This window comes from Homo sapiens, chromosome 17 (genome assembly GCF_000001405.40).
Source record: "Homo sapiens chromosome 17, GRCh38.p14 Primary Assembly".
In the NCBI taxonomy this organism is placed as follows: domain Eukaryota; kingdom Metazoa; phylum Chordata; class Mammalia; order Primates; family Hominidae; genus Homo; species Homo sapiens.
In genome coordinates this window covers 36299175-36315308 of record NC_000017.11, presented here as the reverse complement: position 1 = coordinate 36315308, position 16134 = coordinate 36299175, and the positions used below count along the sequence as shown (strand labels likewise).

The 16134-nt window shown below is 36.9% G+C and overlaps 1 protein-coding gene across 2 annotated transcripts in view; it reads right to left on the bottom strand.

The window, feature by feature from the left end:
- Positions 1–121: 121 nt before the first annotated feature.
- Positions 122–16134, bottom strand: part of LOC101060212 (puromycin-sensitive aminopeptidase-like protein) — a 41091-nt gene continuing 25078 nt past the window's right edge. Inside the window, exons 3-7 of one of the 2 annotated variants that reach the window (XM_047437249.1) lie at positions 7891–8012; positions 4527–4634; positions 1672–1872; positions 1129–1225; positions 122–1000 (exon numbers count right to left, since the gene is read on the bottom strand). In XM_047437249.1, the coding sequence (XP_047293205.1) occupies positions 921–1000; positions 1129–1225; positions 1672–1872; positions 4527–4634; positions 7891–8012 (608 nt within the window). In that variant the 3' untranslated portion in view covers positions 122–920. Of the gene's footprint in view, positions 1001–1047; positions 1226–1626; positions 1873–4526; positions 4635–7890; positions 8013–16134 lie in introns of those variants that run through there. The other variant, XM_047437250.1, reaches the window with a different exon arrangement.

Below are 16134 nucleotides of genomic sequence, written 5' to 3'. Positions count from 1 at the left end.
ATAGTAACAAGATTTCCAAACCATTGATGGGCAAGTTCATGTCCCACAACCAGAGCAACCCACTGGCGGGATGAAGAACAGGAATTTTTTGGATCAATAAGCAATGCAGTCTCCCTATGTTTAAAAAAAAAAAAAAGAGAAACAAATTTAAACAATAAAAGTGGGCATGCATAAGTTGGGAAGATTCAGACAGTAAGTCAGATGGACAAGTTAGGCTTTAGAGATATTAGGAAAATATTTCCTAATATGGAAAGAAAAAGTTTCACGAAGATTAAAGACTACCCCAACAGAATTAATACAACAGAATATCAAAGATGTGACACAAGTTTAATTATCAGTTTGTTGATAGAATAGCTGCCTGAAATTTTGGGAAAACATTGTCTAAGGGATTAGCGATTACTGTGCTAGATGGAGAGAGAAGAAAGTCCTTTCATTAAATGAGGGGAGTGGTGGAGGAAGATGCATTCCATAGTCCCAAAAACAGCACTGAGCCGGCCGTTCAACACTTAGCTCATCTAAGAAGGCAATTGAAAGTAGAAGGCAAAAACTTGTTTACAGACAGACTCTGCTTTTAAAAGTTATTCAACTCACATGTTTATGTTGTGGTGACAGACATGTAAAAACTTGGCTAGAAGATATGAAATTAGGGAAGGTTCTCCAAGCTGGATAAATAGCTATGAAACTACTGGCAGGAAAGAAAGGCACTGCAATGAGAAACTTAGCCAAGAATATATCTAAAAATGCTACTACCGCCAGATGCTCACTTTAAAATCTTACACCCTCAGACAGTAGCACCAAAGGGAGAGGTGTCCATCTGCATTCTTGAAATGTGCATGGAAGTGGGGGAAGGTAGAAAAATTTACACCATATCGTAAAGCAGAAGCTACTCAACTGTGATTAGGAGGGAAGCCCTTTTGAAATCAGTGATTTGAAAAGATAAGGCAGGGTAATACATCATTAACATACCTATAAGTAACAAGGTCCCAGTTCTCCATGGCACCTTCACAAAATAAATATAAACATTTATTGAGATATATATATATATATATATATATATACTCTTGCATCAAAAGTCACAAAATTTTAAAAAGTTATTACAATTCAGCAATAAAATGAAATTTACTTTACCAGCTGCAAAGTCTGCAATAGCAATGAGATCAATTTTAGGTAGAGGATAAGGAACATTGAAGTAGTCCTTATAAAAAGGCAAGGTTTTAGCAGCAACCTATAAAAGTATAAACAAAATAACCATCTAATAAATATGTTATTATAATTCATATTGAAACCCACAAAGGAATCCTGTTGCAAGCCAATGTATCTTAAATTACTAGAAATGAATCCCAGGGAGCCCTACCTCCGAAGACTGCCTTAGCTCCAAACTTTGAATACAATGGCCAAACTTTAATCCATTTATAACTTGATATGAAAAATATAACTACATATTTTCCAACCCATTCCCTAGAGAAATTCCACTCTTATATTCTCTTAATTATTATTTTGTAAAATAACGAAACACCAAGGTTGGCATTTCCTAAATTCTATTAAAAATAAACCAAGTAGCACAACTTTCAGATTAAATTATAAATAACTGTACTAATAATTGACCAGAAATGTAAATTCCCCAACCTGGAGTTATGGACTGCTGGAACAATCCTCTTCAAGTACATTTACCTCTAATGCAAATTTTCCTTGTTCTGCTTTGCCAACAGGAGTGTAAACACAGACACACACACCATCTTTTGACCTTGTTTCTACAAAGTCATATTCACCCACAACAAATGCCACCAGATATGTAGATGTAACAGGTGTGCGGGCAAACTTCACTTCCACTAAATTTTCATCATCAGGGTATGGTTTCCGGTCAATTACATTCTTTAAGAAAGAAAAAAAAGAAAAATTTAAATAGGTTTACATTAATACCATAGAGCAAATACCAGCCAAAAACTGTAGGCTTTATTGCATCTCTTTCCCCCTTTCTATTCTAGCATGGCTTATTTCTCTACCCCAATTCATCCAGTGCTTTTATGCTGTCTTTAAGAAGGAAAGTGGTCTGATAAAACACTCATACTAAGAAGCTGGAGGCTGAAGTGTTAAAACTACCAAGGACCTGTGAGAGAAAAGAGGAATGGACTTTTCTCGAATACTTATTATAAGCCAGGCATTGGGATGATTTAAGTAAGGGCTTCATACTTTTCAACTGACATAAGTTTAGGAGAAAATGACTATTAATAAAAATAAAATAGGGGCCAGGCGCGGTGGCTCACGCCTGTAATCCCAGCACTTTGGGAGGCTTAGGCGGGCGAATCACAAGGTCAGGAGATCAAGACCATCCTGGCTAACATGGTGAAACCCCGTCTCTACTAAAAATACAAAACATTAGCCAGGCATGGTGGGGGGTGCCTGTAATCCCAGCTACTTGGGAGGCTGAGGCAGGAGAATGGCGTGAACCAGGGAGGCGGAGCTTGCAGTGAGCTGGGATCACACCACTGCACTCCAGCCTGGGCGACACAGCGAGACTCCTTCTCAAAAATAAATAAAAAAAATATAATATAATTGTAGAATCTCCCATTTCAAAGGATACAAACTTCTAGATCGAGGGCATTCTCTACCAAAGTTGGCTCTAAGCTTATTTGTGAAGAAATTTCAACTTTACCTTTGGAGTCCCTAATTTCCTTTGGTGTTCTCCCTCTTTTTCCTATTCAGGCTCCATTTCCTCAAGCTCTCTCTATTCTTCCTTCCAAGGAAGACTTATTCAAGAACACACTGATAAATTCACTCATACTAAAGTGTGAATGAATATTTCTGCTTAATGTATTAGCCTCCTCTTCTAAGAATATGTGTGAAGAGAATGACATTCTATTTATGGGATGCTCTCCCCCAGTAAATACATAAAAGAGTTATTTTCAGGTGCAGCAGGTTTTTCCAAGTTCCCCACACAAGACAGTCCTAGACAACACACTTCAAGTGGGGAATGCTTACCCTGTTCATGAATGAGATCAATAACACTGGTGAAGAGAATACATTCCAAGAATACAAACAGCCAGAAACCTAAATATACTTCATTATGCAGCTACATCTTTTGAATTCTTTTAACTTTTTAAAAAGATAGAGACAGGGTCTTGCTCTGTTGCAACCTTTTTTTTTTCCCCCCGAGATGGAGTCTTGCTCTGTCACCCAGGCTGGAGCGGAGTGGCGCGATCTCAACTCACTGCAGCCTCCGCCTCCCAGGTTCAAGCAATTCTCCTGCCTCAGCCTCCCAAGTAGCTGGGGTTACAGGTGCCTGCCACCATATCTGGCTAATTTTTGTATTTTTAGTAGAGATGGGGTTTCACCATGTTGGCCAGGCTGGTCTCGAACTCCTGGCCTCAAATGATCCACCTGCCTCAGCCTCCTGAAGTGCTGGGATTACAGGTATGAGCCACCATGCCTGGCCTATTTTTTTTTTTTAAGAGATGGGGTCTTGTTCTGTCACCCAGGCTGGAATACAGTGGCGCAATCATGGCTCCCTGTAGCCTCAAACTCCTAAGTTCGAGAGATCCTCCCACATTAGCCTCCCAAGTAGTTAGGATTACAGACACCTGCCACCATACCTGGCTAACTTTTAAGTTTTAAATCTTTTGTAGAAATGAGGTCTCACTATGTTGCCCAGACTGGTGTCAAACTCCTGGCCTCAAGCAATCCTCCTGCCTTAGCCTCCCAAAGCACTGAGATTACAAGCAAGAGTCACTGTACCTGGCTTTCTTATGACATTTAATAAGTCAAGACCTTTTTCTTTTTTTTTTCTTTTTTTTTCTGAGATAGGGTCTGGCTCTGTCACCCAGGCTGGAGTGCAGTGGTGTGATCTCAGCTCACTACAACCTCCGCTTCCTGGGTTCAAGTGATCCTCCCACCTCAGCCTCCCAAGTAGCTGGGACTACAGGTGTGTGCAACCACACTCAGATAATTTTTGTATTTTTAGTAAGGACAGGATTTCACCATGTTGGCCAGGCTGGTCTTCAACTCCTGACCTCAAGCGATCTGCCTACCTTGACTTCCCAAAGTGCTGGGATGACAGGTGTAAGCCACCATATCCAGCCCAAGACTTTTGCTTTTAGTTACTATAAATCTATTAAACTTGTCAATTTACCTCTCTAAATTAAAAGAAGTAGATAATCTTATAAATGTATTTAACAAGGAATTTGACAAGGACAAAATCCTCCAAAAATAAAGCTATCAAGAAAAAGAGGTCTTGGCTGGGCATGGTGGCTCATGCCTCTAATCCCAGCACTTTGGGAGGCTGAGGCAGGAAGACAGATTGACCCCAGGAGTTTGAGACCAGCCTGGGCAACATAATGAGACCCCAACTCTACAGAAAAAAAAAAAAAAGAAAGAAAAAGAGGCTTATTGAAAATAAAGAAAACTATTATTTATGTTCCTATAATATACCAGCACTGTGGTAGGTGGTTTCATATTATCCCATCTAATCAGCAAACTAAATCTGCTAAAGCCTATTAAAATTTTAGATAAACTTATAAACACATACATACCATGTTTGATAAAGCTACTCTGTCTTTAGGAACAACCAATGAGATATCAAAAGTTGCTTTGATAGCAGGCTCATCCCAGCAAGGAAAAGCCCTTCGGGCATCAGTAGCCTTAAGAAAAGAATATGAAATATAAATACCTTAGAATTAACCTAACAAGTTATTTCATAAAGCAGTCGCCATTTCCCTCTGTCATTCATTCATTCCCTTGTTCAAATATTTACTTTCTCTTCAGTGCCAGGCAACAAGCTAGGCATTAACTAGAAAGAAAAGACAACACTTGCTACCACTGCCATTCCAGCAAATATCCAGGAACAGTGTCTGCTATGGATTTTAACAATATATTATAATTATTTACAACTAAATTTTTGTTTACATTTTAACATTTCAAATTTAATGCAAATGCCTTCAAATCAATAATGTTAACACAACACAGAGCACAGAACAGTAAAGAGTATGCTATAAGAATTCAAAGTTGGGAAAACATGGTAAGTTGCCTCTCTGGCTTTTATTTTTGAATTAAAAATAAAAATATTCTCAATCTTTGATGTGCTTTGTTCTTTATCTGGAATGGCAGCAATGGGAATAAAGACAGATGCTCTATCAATTCAAGACAGGTCATTCATTTAATGGCACTTCCATATGCTACACATAAAACTGTCGCCACTTGACCTACTTGAGTCCTTACTCTTTCATTAAAAATTTAAAAAAGAGCAACCTTATGAAAGCAAAATAAAACTTAGGGGTTCTGCAGGGTATCAGTTATAAAGGAAAGACACTTCAGTAAACAGAATTTTCCATTTATTTAGTAAATAAAATGGAACCAATGACAAGATACTGTATCATAAAAAGAAACAACAGACTGGGTGCAGTGGCTCATGCTTGTAATTCCAGCACTTTGGGAGGCCGAGGTGGGCGGATCACCTGAGGTCAGGAGTTCGAGACCAGCCTGGTCAACATGGTGAAACCCCGTCTCTACTAAAAATACAAAAATAAGCCAGGCATGGTGACACATGCCTGTAATCCCAGCTACTCGGGAGGCTGAGGCAGGAGAATGGCTCGAACCTGGGAAGCGGAGGTTGCAGTGAGCCAAGATTGCACCACTGCACTCCAGCCTGGGCGACAGAGCAAGGCTCCGACTAAAAAACAAACAAACAAACGAACAAACAAACAAACAAACAAACCAAAGAGGTAGAAGAAACTTGGCTGACTACATTCTCAAAAACATTAAATAAATAATGAATTCTATCAATGAATAAAAAAGACATCTGAAAAGAAGGGAGAGTATAAGGAAAGAAATGGCAGCACAGAAGCATTTAAATTAGAAGCAGCAGCAGTAGAGAAATGAATTTATACTAAAGGAAATTAATGACAGATAACAAGATTTAAGTTTGAAAATATCTAAAGGACAAAGTGATAAAAGCAATTAAACATAATTTGAGAGACAGATACTAGAGCTAAACTGAGTATTAACTGAGAAGGGAATGGAATGGATATCACAGTGAAGATATAACAGAAAAACTCTTTCACACTGAAAAATTACCTGAATCTAAAAATCAATAGGGTTCACCAAGTACTATGCAAAAATCAATGAAAAGTGAACACCTGGTTTAAAAAACAGTTTAATTTTCGATATCAAGATATAATTTAACAAGCAAGCAGGAAGAAAATAAAGCAAAACGAAACAACATCTTACCTACAAAGGAAGAAGAAACATTTTAGTCTGTGACCCCTCCTCTTGAAAAAGTGAGATGTAGAAGACTTTGGAAACAATATTCACAGACTTTTGAAAGTGAAAAATTGTAAGCTGATTGTACTACTCTTACAATTGAATGAGCTGGGCCTATTACTCATGGCAAGAGAGAACTCACACCACAGGGAACCACTGGTGTCTCCATAAGAATGTAAGAAAGAACCCACTATACGATTTGGGATTTGGTTTACATGATTTGGAAGAGGGTCTAAGTAAACAGGGATTCACTCTAGATTGAGTGCTGCAAGAAGTCCTATGAGGCAATTCTATGGGTATGTATCTCAATAAATCTTATCTATACGGAGGCCAGACTAGAGCAAATCTAAAACCGTAATTGGTAAAGAAGCAGTAGTCACTCATTTTAACTGAGAGATGGAGATGTTTGATATTTTGCGGGTAGCATAGTGATCCTGTATGTACTGTACCTAGGCAAAATTATGGATCCCTTGTTTTGTCTCACTTTATTATGGTCTCAAGTAGCCTTGTCTAAAGTTGGTATTCTGTAATATTATGTCTAATAGGGAGAATAACACGGGCTAGCTGTGAGTGCCAGACAACCTCTGGATGTCAAAAGTTGCTCTTTTTACCTTTTTTCATCAACAAATCTATATACCCAGTAAATCTGGTCATGTATAAAGGCAAATGAAAGATTTTTCAGAAAAGCAAAGGTTTAGGAATTACATTACCCACATACCTTCTCCTAAAAAAAAAATTGTTTAGAGACATACATCAGCCAACCATTCCAGGATGAAGTGTTCAAAGTGGGTAGAGAAAGGCATTGGAATCATTCAAACACAGAATTAAACCTAAATATCTGTGGCAAATATTATTCTAAACAGAAGGTAACATAAAATTATTGAAAGAGAAGATACATCAGGTAAAACAAATTAGTAGTAAACTGGATAAAAAATTTTAGGTTATCCCAAACAAGCAAACAATATAGGGATATGGGCAGAAACATAAGAATGGATATCATGAATTGTTTCTTTATCCATACTGAAATTTATAGAAATAAATTTAATTAGATTTAACACTTAAAAATACGACTAGCAGATTCAAAACAATGTATATAATTTGCAAATACCTGACAAATAAAAATCATCCTGGCCTACGTAGGACAGCAAATATATATATGTGTGTATATATATATGTATACACACACACACACACACACACACACACACACACACAGAGAGAGAGAGAAAAAAAATCAAAGACAGCACAGATACTACAGTAAGATAAACAAAAGATGTCAAAGAAGGAAAGGAATTCTAGAAAACAGCTAATAATACTGTAGGAAAAGCCATAGGTGTCAAATACTAAGAGAATGATTTTAAGAAAGGTACACAGTATATAGGCAATTCAGGTATCAAAATGTGTCGTGTGTTTGAATGTCTGTGTGTATAACTGTATATAATCATTCCCCAACCCATACCCTTAATTCCCTCCTTTCTATAGAGATAATGGCTAAATATAAAATAAAAATTCTAAAATTGTGAATACAATCATGGCCAAGGGCACCTAGCCTCAAATAATCACCCCACATAATAAACACACCTTTGTCAGAATGCCTAATTTAAGAATAATAATATTTTAGAGAAGAATAACCCATACCTCAAACTGTGTTACAGCAGCATAGCGCACCTCTCCAGAAGGGGTAGTATACTTACTTCTATAGAAACCTTTCATTTTGTCATTCAGCTCTCCAACAAAATCTATCTTTAAGGTTCCCGTACCTGTGATTGAAGATAAATAAAAAACACTTTTATGGAGATGTTAAACACAGTTACCAAAAATATGTCCTCAAGACACTATATTCAGTTAGCTATTTACAATGTTCAAATCATTCCTTCCTTTTTCAAATATTCCTCCTGGCAATGGAGAGAATACAGTACTTACTAAAGTAAAAGGCAGACTAATCCTAAAATAACTCTTGAAAGTCATGTTTAGGGTGACTGCCTAAAAAGTTATTAACTTAGTCTCAAACTACCAATATGTGAAAATAAGAACAGGAAAGGAAACAAACATTTATTCTTAAATGCCTGATATGTGCTATTGTGCACAGTGCTTTTAAAATATATATAACTATTTATAAACCTGGAAGTAGATATTGTCCTCATTTTTTCAGATGAGGAAACTGAGGCTGAGAAGCTAAATAACTTGTCCAGTGTCATAAAATTAGTAAGTAGTGAGAATGGGATAAAATGTTAAGTCCAGAATCCATGCTCTCTGCCAATTATACATGTGAATTGGTCCTTTTACACAACTTCATGCATAGAAAGAGAAATGTAGCCAATTACTCTATCAAGATAAGACACTAAATGTTTACTCCAAATGGAACACTGATTGCATAATTTTGTAAGGAGCTATAGGGAAGACCAATGATTTGATCAGCAACAGGGCATAAAACAAATTCTTACAAGTCACCTCAATCATTTGAAATCTGACAAAGAAATACATTTAATTAATAAATTATTAAATGCAAATAAAAATACAACTTAAATATGTATTCTATTGTATAAGAGCAAAAACAATTTAGACAAAAAAGTGAGCTTTTTTGAGTTTATATACTTTCTTTTTTATAACATAAAAAATTATAATTATTATCTAGTAATCATCTGCTAAATACAGATGCATGGCAAAACAGTAATCCCATTCTGTGTTTTACAAATCAAGTCACGAAAAAACGTAGAGGAATGGTGACTTTTTAGTTGACCATTTTAAAGGCCCTACGTATATCAAGATTTAAAGCATGGGAAGTCTAACAAATCAAAGATAGGGCATGACTATAAAGTAATTAACCAATCATACCAAACTTTTATATCCTAATGTTTCAAATTGTCATTTTGGAACGCTAAAGAGCAATGACATTTGACATTGTTCAAAATGTTGTGACTTTCTCTTTCTCTCTTTTTTTTTTTTGAGACAGAGGCTCACTCTGTTGCCCAGGCTGGAGTACAGTGGTGTGATCTCGGCTCACTGCAGCCTCCGCCTCCTGGGTTCAAGCAATTGTGCCTCAGCCTCCTGAGTAGCTGGGACTACAGGCGGGCACCACCACGCCTGGCTAATTTTTGCATTTTTAGTAGAGACAGGGGTTTGCCATGTTGGCCAGCTGGTCTTAAACTCCTGGCCTCAAGTGATCCACCCACCTTGGCCTCCCGAAGTGCTGGGATTACAGGCATGAGCCACTGTGCCCAGCCCCTCTGACACTCTTTTGAATGATCTCAAAGTCAAATCTTCATCTTATAAAATTGAATTTGCTTTTGGAAAGGACCAAAAGTTATGGGGAGTGAGAGTCTACAGAATAAGTGAATGACAAACTACAAACTGTCTCTAGCCTGATGCCTCAAACTGGTTCTGAAAGTAATTTAAGTGAAAATTTCAGACCTTTAGAGCAAAGTCACCACTAATGAAAGTGCTATATTCTTAATCATTCTGAGAAAAAAACAACTCAACTGAAGCTTAATTGAATAGACATTTGTGATGTTTATTTTTTAGAAATCAGATATTTGTAAATATCTAAAGAGGACAATGAATACTTTTTTCTTTAAAGAGAATGACAGGTTACTGGGACAGTATATATGGATATAGTAAAATAATTGATAATTCTAAATGATACTAAAAAATTAAACTATAAAGCAAAATTTAAATTAAAAATTTTTAATTTCTATTTTCTTTAGAAGTTCACTTAATTTTTTTAAAAAAGCAAATGTATTCACATTAATAAAGTTTGCAAAGAACGTCTAACAGATTATAAAAACCTACTACCTTTAATGGAAACTATATGATGGAATTTTATGTTACAATTCCATAAGTGGAATTGCCCAGTCTGTTTCACTAAGTCAGTCAACTGTTAAGATGTTTTTTAAATATAATTCATATTTCATGGTAAATCTACTTGCATTTTTTCCTAGTTGGAACATAAGTGGTTTTAAAACTCATAACTAAATAAGAAAGACTGCTTACACTTTTACTCGGTTTTAAATCTCCAAGGCCATCAAACCATAACAAGATATTGACAGTGACCACTTCCAAAAAGTGGCATACTAAACAAAATACAAAGTATTGGAAAGAGTTATTACCTGAAATTCAAACAAAACACAAGTTAAAGTATTTAAAAATCATTAATAAGTTTAATTAGTGTCACATTATATGATACCAATTACAAAGTATTTACTTACTATTCATATAGTAGAATTTTAGGGCAAGTAGGAGAAAAAATGACTTTTTAATAAATTTCATTTATCAAATTTACACCATATTAATGAACGGATTGCCAAATTGTCTAATTTTATACCTATCAACACACATAATTTACACCACTTCCTCAAATTAGATACCTTATTTCATATCCAATGTATGAAATATTTATGTTTGGGGTTGTAAACCTTTTGAAACATACATCAAGCTCGTTTATAAAGTAAACAACTGAAAAATTGGGACTTCCATCAAAAACCTTAAATGTTTAAAGCTTAGGAGAGTATAACAATTGTAAAACCTGGAGTAAATCTTGAAATACTTTAATAATAAGAAATTTAATGAGTCTACTAAATGCTATAAAAATAAAGAGATTAATTTATACAAAAAGGGAATAAAGATCGTTGCCTTTGTGTCACCACCTCTTTTTTTCTTTGGAAAATGGAGTCTCAGTCTCAGTCTGTCACCCAGGCTAAAGTGCAGTGGTGCAATCTCGGCTCACTGCAACCTTCGGCTCCCGGGTTCAAGCAATTCTCCTGCCTCAGCCTCCTGAGTAGCTGGAACTACAGGCGTGCGCCACCAGGCCTGACTAATTTTTGTTTTTAGTAGAAACAGGGTTTCGCCATGTGTCACCACTTTTTATTATCTTGTTTTTGACTCTTCAAAATGCTGACAACTACCAGTGTTTCTCCATATAAATGCCACCCTCAGGACCCTCAGCCACTAATTCTAAGGTTGTTAGACCTTACAATAATTATGGTAATTTAATCACTATCCCAGAATGGTGCCAATTTCAGAAAAGTAGGTTTTACTTAGCTGTATAATAGCTTGCATTACTGTTAAATTTGATGAGGCTAAACACAAAGGTTATTAATGTCCTCCTAAGATAAGCTCAGTATTTGCTTCATTATCAGATAGATCACTTGTGCAATCTGTCTTGAAAAAGATTAACTTCATTTTTAAAGCAAACCTTGGGAAAATGTGAAAGCCAATGGTTTCAAACAGATATTCAATAATTCAATATTGTCGGCTGGGCGTGATGGCTCACACCTGTAATTCCAGCACTTTGGGAGGCCGAGGCGGGAGGATCACGAGGTCAGGAGATCAAGACCATCCTGGCTAACACAGTGAAACCCCATCTCTACTAAAAATACAAAAACAAAATTAGCCGGGCGTGGTGGCGGGCACCTGTAGTCCCAGCTACTCGGGAGGCTGAGACAGGAGAATGGCATGAACCCAGGAGGCAGAGCTTGCAGTGAGCTGAGATCGCGCCACTGCACTCCAGCCTGGACGACAGAGCGAGACTCCATCTCAAAAAATAATAATAATAATAATTCAATATTGTCACACCTGCAAGATAATTTTTCTGTTCTAATATTTATATCAGTTGTTATATTAGCTCAAAATTGTTATATTGGCCAAAAATATCAAAAATTATGTTAAATCATACTATACTAATGGTCATAACCTTCTCTAACTTGTTTGTTATTATTTGAAATAGCTTCACCATTTAGCATGTCTGCTGTAAACAGACCTTATCAAGAATGATACATCTCTTATATACTAGTAATAAATGGCCTCCAATATTTACAGTTAAGGGGAAAAGAAGAAAGGTGCAGAACATTATGTATGGCATGGTGATTTCTGTGTTCTTAAAAAGTATATATATAAATGCTTACAAAAGCAGGGTATAGTTTTGAAAGGAAAATTTCATTTCATTCTGTTGAGGAATGGAGCTGAGAAAGAAGACAGGGTAGACTGGCAAACAAAATTTCATTGCATAGCATTTGAATTTCAAATTATGTAAATGTACTATGTTTTTGAAATATTTAATTTGAAAAATAAAGATAGCACAATGTGGTGGTTAAAAGTGCAGACTTTTGAGTTAAACTGCTTGGGTTTAAATCCCAGCTATGTTACTTACTAGCTATGTTACCTTGGACAAATTATTTAAGTTACTGAAATCATTTTTCTGCCTTAGTTTATCTACAAAATAGAAGTAACAGAATCTGGCTGGCGTAGTGGCTCATGCCTGTAACCTCAACATTTGGGAGGATGGCAAGATCCTCTCTCTGAGGTAGGAGGATCACCTGAGGCCAGGCATTTGAGACCAGCCTAGGCAACATAACGAGACCCTGTCTCTACAAAAAAATTTAAAAATTAACCAGATGCACTGTCATGTGTAGGCAGTCCTAGCTACATGGGAGGCTGAAGTGGGAGAATCACTTAAACCCAGGAGTTTGAGGCTGCAGTGAGCCGTGACTGCACCACTATACTCCAGCCTGGGTGACAGAGAGACTTTGTCACAAAACAAATCTACCTCAAAAGGTTGTTGAAAGGACTAAATAAATTAATATTTTTGAGGCACTTAAAACAGTACTTGGCACAGATTATGTCGTGTGTGTGTGTGTGTGTGTGTGTGTGTGTGTAATACATATCTTCTATCATGTTAGAAGTTTCTGTCTACTCTTCCCTGGTGAATTCTAGCAAATAAACTGATTCCTTTTGATAAATATAGAATGTTTAACTTTTTAAATTTAATGAAAAATGGTTACCATATTTCCTAATGCTGAACAACAATTCAATCTACGCTTTTATTTTCTATACTGGCTAGGTTTATATATCTTTTGGGACTATTTTTAAATATCAGTTTTTTAATATTTCTGCCCCTCACTTCACTTATTTCATTTGTTTCTGCTCTTAAAACTTTCTTCTACTTTCTCCAAGTTACCTTTTGTTTTTATGAGTTTAATGCTTAGCTAATTAATTTTCAGTCTTTCTTCTTAACTAAATATTCTAATATTTTATCTGCATATGAAACATGTTTATCCCTAATGTTTCATATGTGGTAATTTCATTATTCAGTTCTAAATATTTTCTAATTTCCATAACAAGTCTTCTTTGACTCAATTATTCAGAGGTATAATTTTTTCAAATATATAAAAAGGGATTTTTTTCATTTCTCTTTTTCTATTGACTTCTAATTTTTTCACAGTGTAAACACAGAATATATATAGTCTGTAATGATATAGATTTAAAACTCTAAAATTTTTTAAATTTCTATCAAAGTAATAGTTCACAGTTTAAAATACGTAAGCTCCAGGCCCTGCTCAACACTAGGCCCTACTCCCCACACCCTGCCCCTAGAAGCAATCAATTTCAAACTCTGTGACTTCTAAATGTCTTGCTTACACAGCTATTTTTTCTTTTCCTTTCTTTGAGACAGTCTTGCTCTGTCGCCCAGGCTCGAGGGCAGTGGTACAATCACGGCTCACTGCAGCCTTCAATTCCTGGGCAAGCAATCCTCCCACCTCAGCCTCCCAAAGTGTTGGGATTACAGGCATGAGCCACGACCACGGCCTATTTCTTCATTTTTCAACTTTAGACATTTTCTCTTCACTGTAGAAAGTCATGCTTTAGCTAATCCATCCCCCACTCCAATATCTTTTACAAAGAATCAAATTTTCTATGACCTTGCAAATCTGAAAATATTTTTACTCCGAAATTCAAAGTTGGGCTAAGCATGCAATCTTAGGTTGAAAATCAGATTCACTTTGTATTTTGAATGAACAGCTTCATTAGAGTCTAAGTTTCCACTGTTCCTAATGGTAAGTCTAGGACTATTCTGATTCCTAAATTTTAAAGGTAGTATGCTACCTGCCTTCCCTCCTATTGCCCCCTATCCCAGACAGGAACTTTCTGGGAGTTTTACTTTATCGCAGAAGTTCTAAAATTTCAGTCAGTGTGGCAATTTTTACATTTTTTAAGCTAGTCTCTCTCAATGGTGTACCTTTGCAAACTGAAGGCTCCTGCTCTATCAGTTCAAGGAAATGTTCCTGTCTTTTTGAGTTTCTCTTCTGGCCGGGCACAGTGGCACACGCCTGTAATCCCTAGCACTTTGAGAGGCCGAAGTGGGCACATCACCTAAGGTCCGGAGTTCGAGACCAGCCTGGCCAACATGGTGAAACCCCAACTCTACTAAAAATACAAAAATCAGCTGGGCGTGGTGGTGTGTGCCTGTAATCTCAGCTACCCAGGAGGCTGAGGCAGGAGAATCACTGGAACCCACGAGGTGGAGGCTGTGGTGAGCCGAGATTGCACCACTGCACTCCAGCCTGGGTGACAGAGCAAGATTCTGTTGCAAAAATGAAAATTAAAAAATCCTCTTCCCATTTCCTCTGCTTTCTGTTTTACTAGATGGATGTTGGTTCTGCTGGACTGGTTCTCAAATCTATTTTTCTGTTTTCTATCTGTTTTTTCTACTGCTTGGAAGTTTCCTCAACTTCATCTTTAACACTTTTACTGGGTTTTTTATACCTATCATAATTTCCAAGTTTTCCTGCTGTAATTCTTCCTATCTGATGGCATTCTGTCCTGTCCTTGTTTAATGCACGCAATGCTTTCTCTTAACTCTCTAAGGATAGTAATTAGCTATGGGTTTGTTTTTTTTTTAACTTTCTTTAGATTTGTCTTTGCTTTTTCCAACTTCCTTTATTTCTATTATACTTATAATTTTGCTTTTTGCCCTATCTTTCATTAGAAACTTTTCGCAAATGTCTGTTAAATGCTACCCCAGTGACTTTGGGCTTGGTCATGCTACTTGCTTTGGTCAATGAAATGTGAGTAGACATCAAGTATACCACCATCACACAGAAATTTTATTTTTTATTTTATTTTTTATAGAGACAGGGTCTCACTACATTGCCTAGGCTGGTCTCGAACTCCTGGGCTCAAGCAATCCTCCTGCCTCAGCCTCCAAAAATGCTGGGATTACAGGTGTGAGTCACCACGCCTGGCCATGCAGAAGTTTTAAATGTGTCTTTGTGGTCTAGCTTTCTCCCCATCCCTGAGCCTCTGCCCTCTGCCATGCATGATACAGAGAGTGGCTGCTCGCTGACTACTAGTCCTGGAAAGACAGTTGGGAGCCAAGTGGAGCCAGCAGAGTTGGTGATATGGCTGCATATGATCAGCAGTCCTCATGGCCCATGTGTAAAAAAGAAAGAAATCTCAGTGGTTATAAGCCACTGAGATTTGTGATCCTATCTGTGGGTTAAATTATATACATAAATTTATATATACATAGGAATATTTCTAGACAGATTCACCAGACAATGGAAGTAGAAGAAATCAGCGAAAGAATCTCCTTCCTTTTCAAATTATATTCTTCAATAGCTTTTAATACATGTTCATGGCAAAGCATTTTTTGTTTTGTTTTGTTTTGTTTTTTGGGACGGAGTCTCACTCTGCCACCCAGGCTGGAGTGCAGTGGTGCGATCTCGGCTCACTGCAAGCTCCACCTCCCGGGTTCACGCCATTCTCCTGCCTCAGCCTCCCGAGTAGCTGGGACTACAGGCACCTGCCACCATTCCCAGCTAATTTTTTGTATTTTTAGTAGAGACAGGGTTTCACCGTGTTAGTCAGGATGGTCTCGATCTCCTGACCTCGTGATCCGCCCGCCTCGGCCTCCCAAAGTGCTGGGATTACAGGCGTGAGCCACTACGCCCGGCCCATTTATTTTTATAATAATTACACATAAAGGGCCTCCAAGAGCACTGAAATAAAAGACTAAACATCTCCAATTTAAATTTTTTCTAAAAATAATTTTATATTAATTCAATAGATTCTCAGTAGGAAAATTGTGAAAATCAGACAAAAGATATA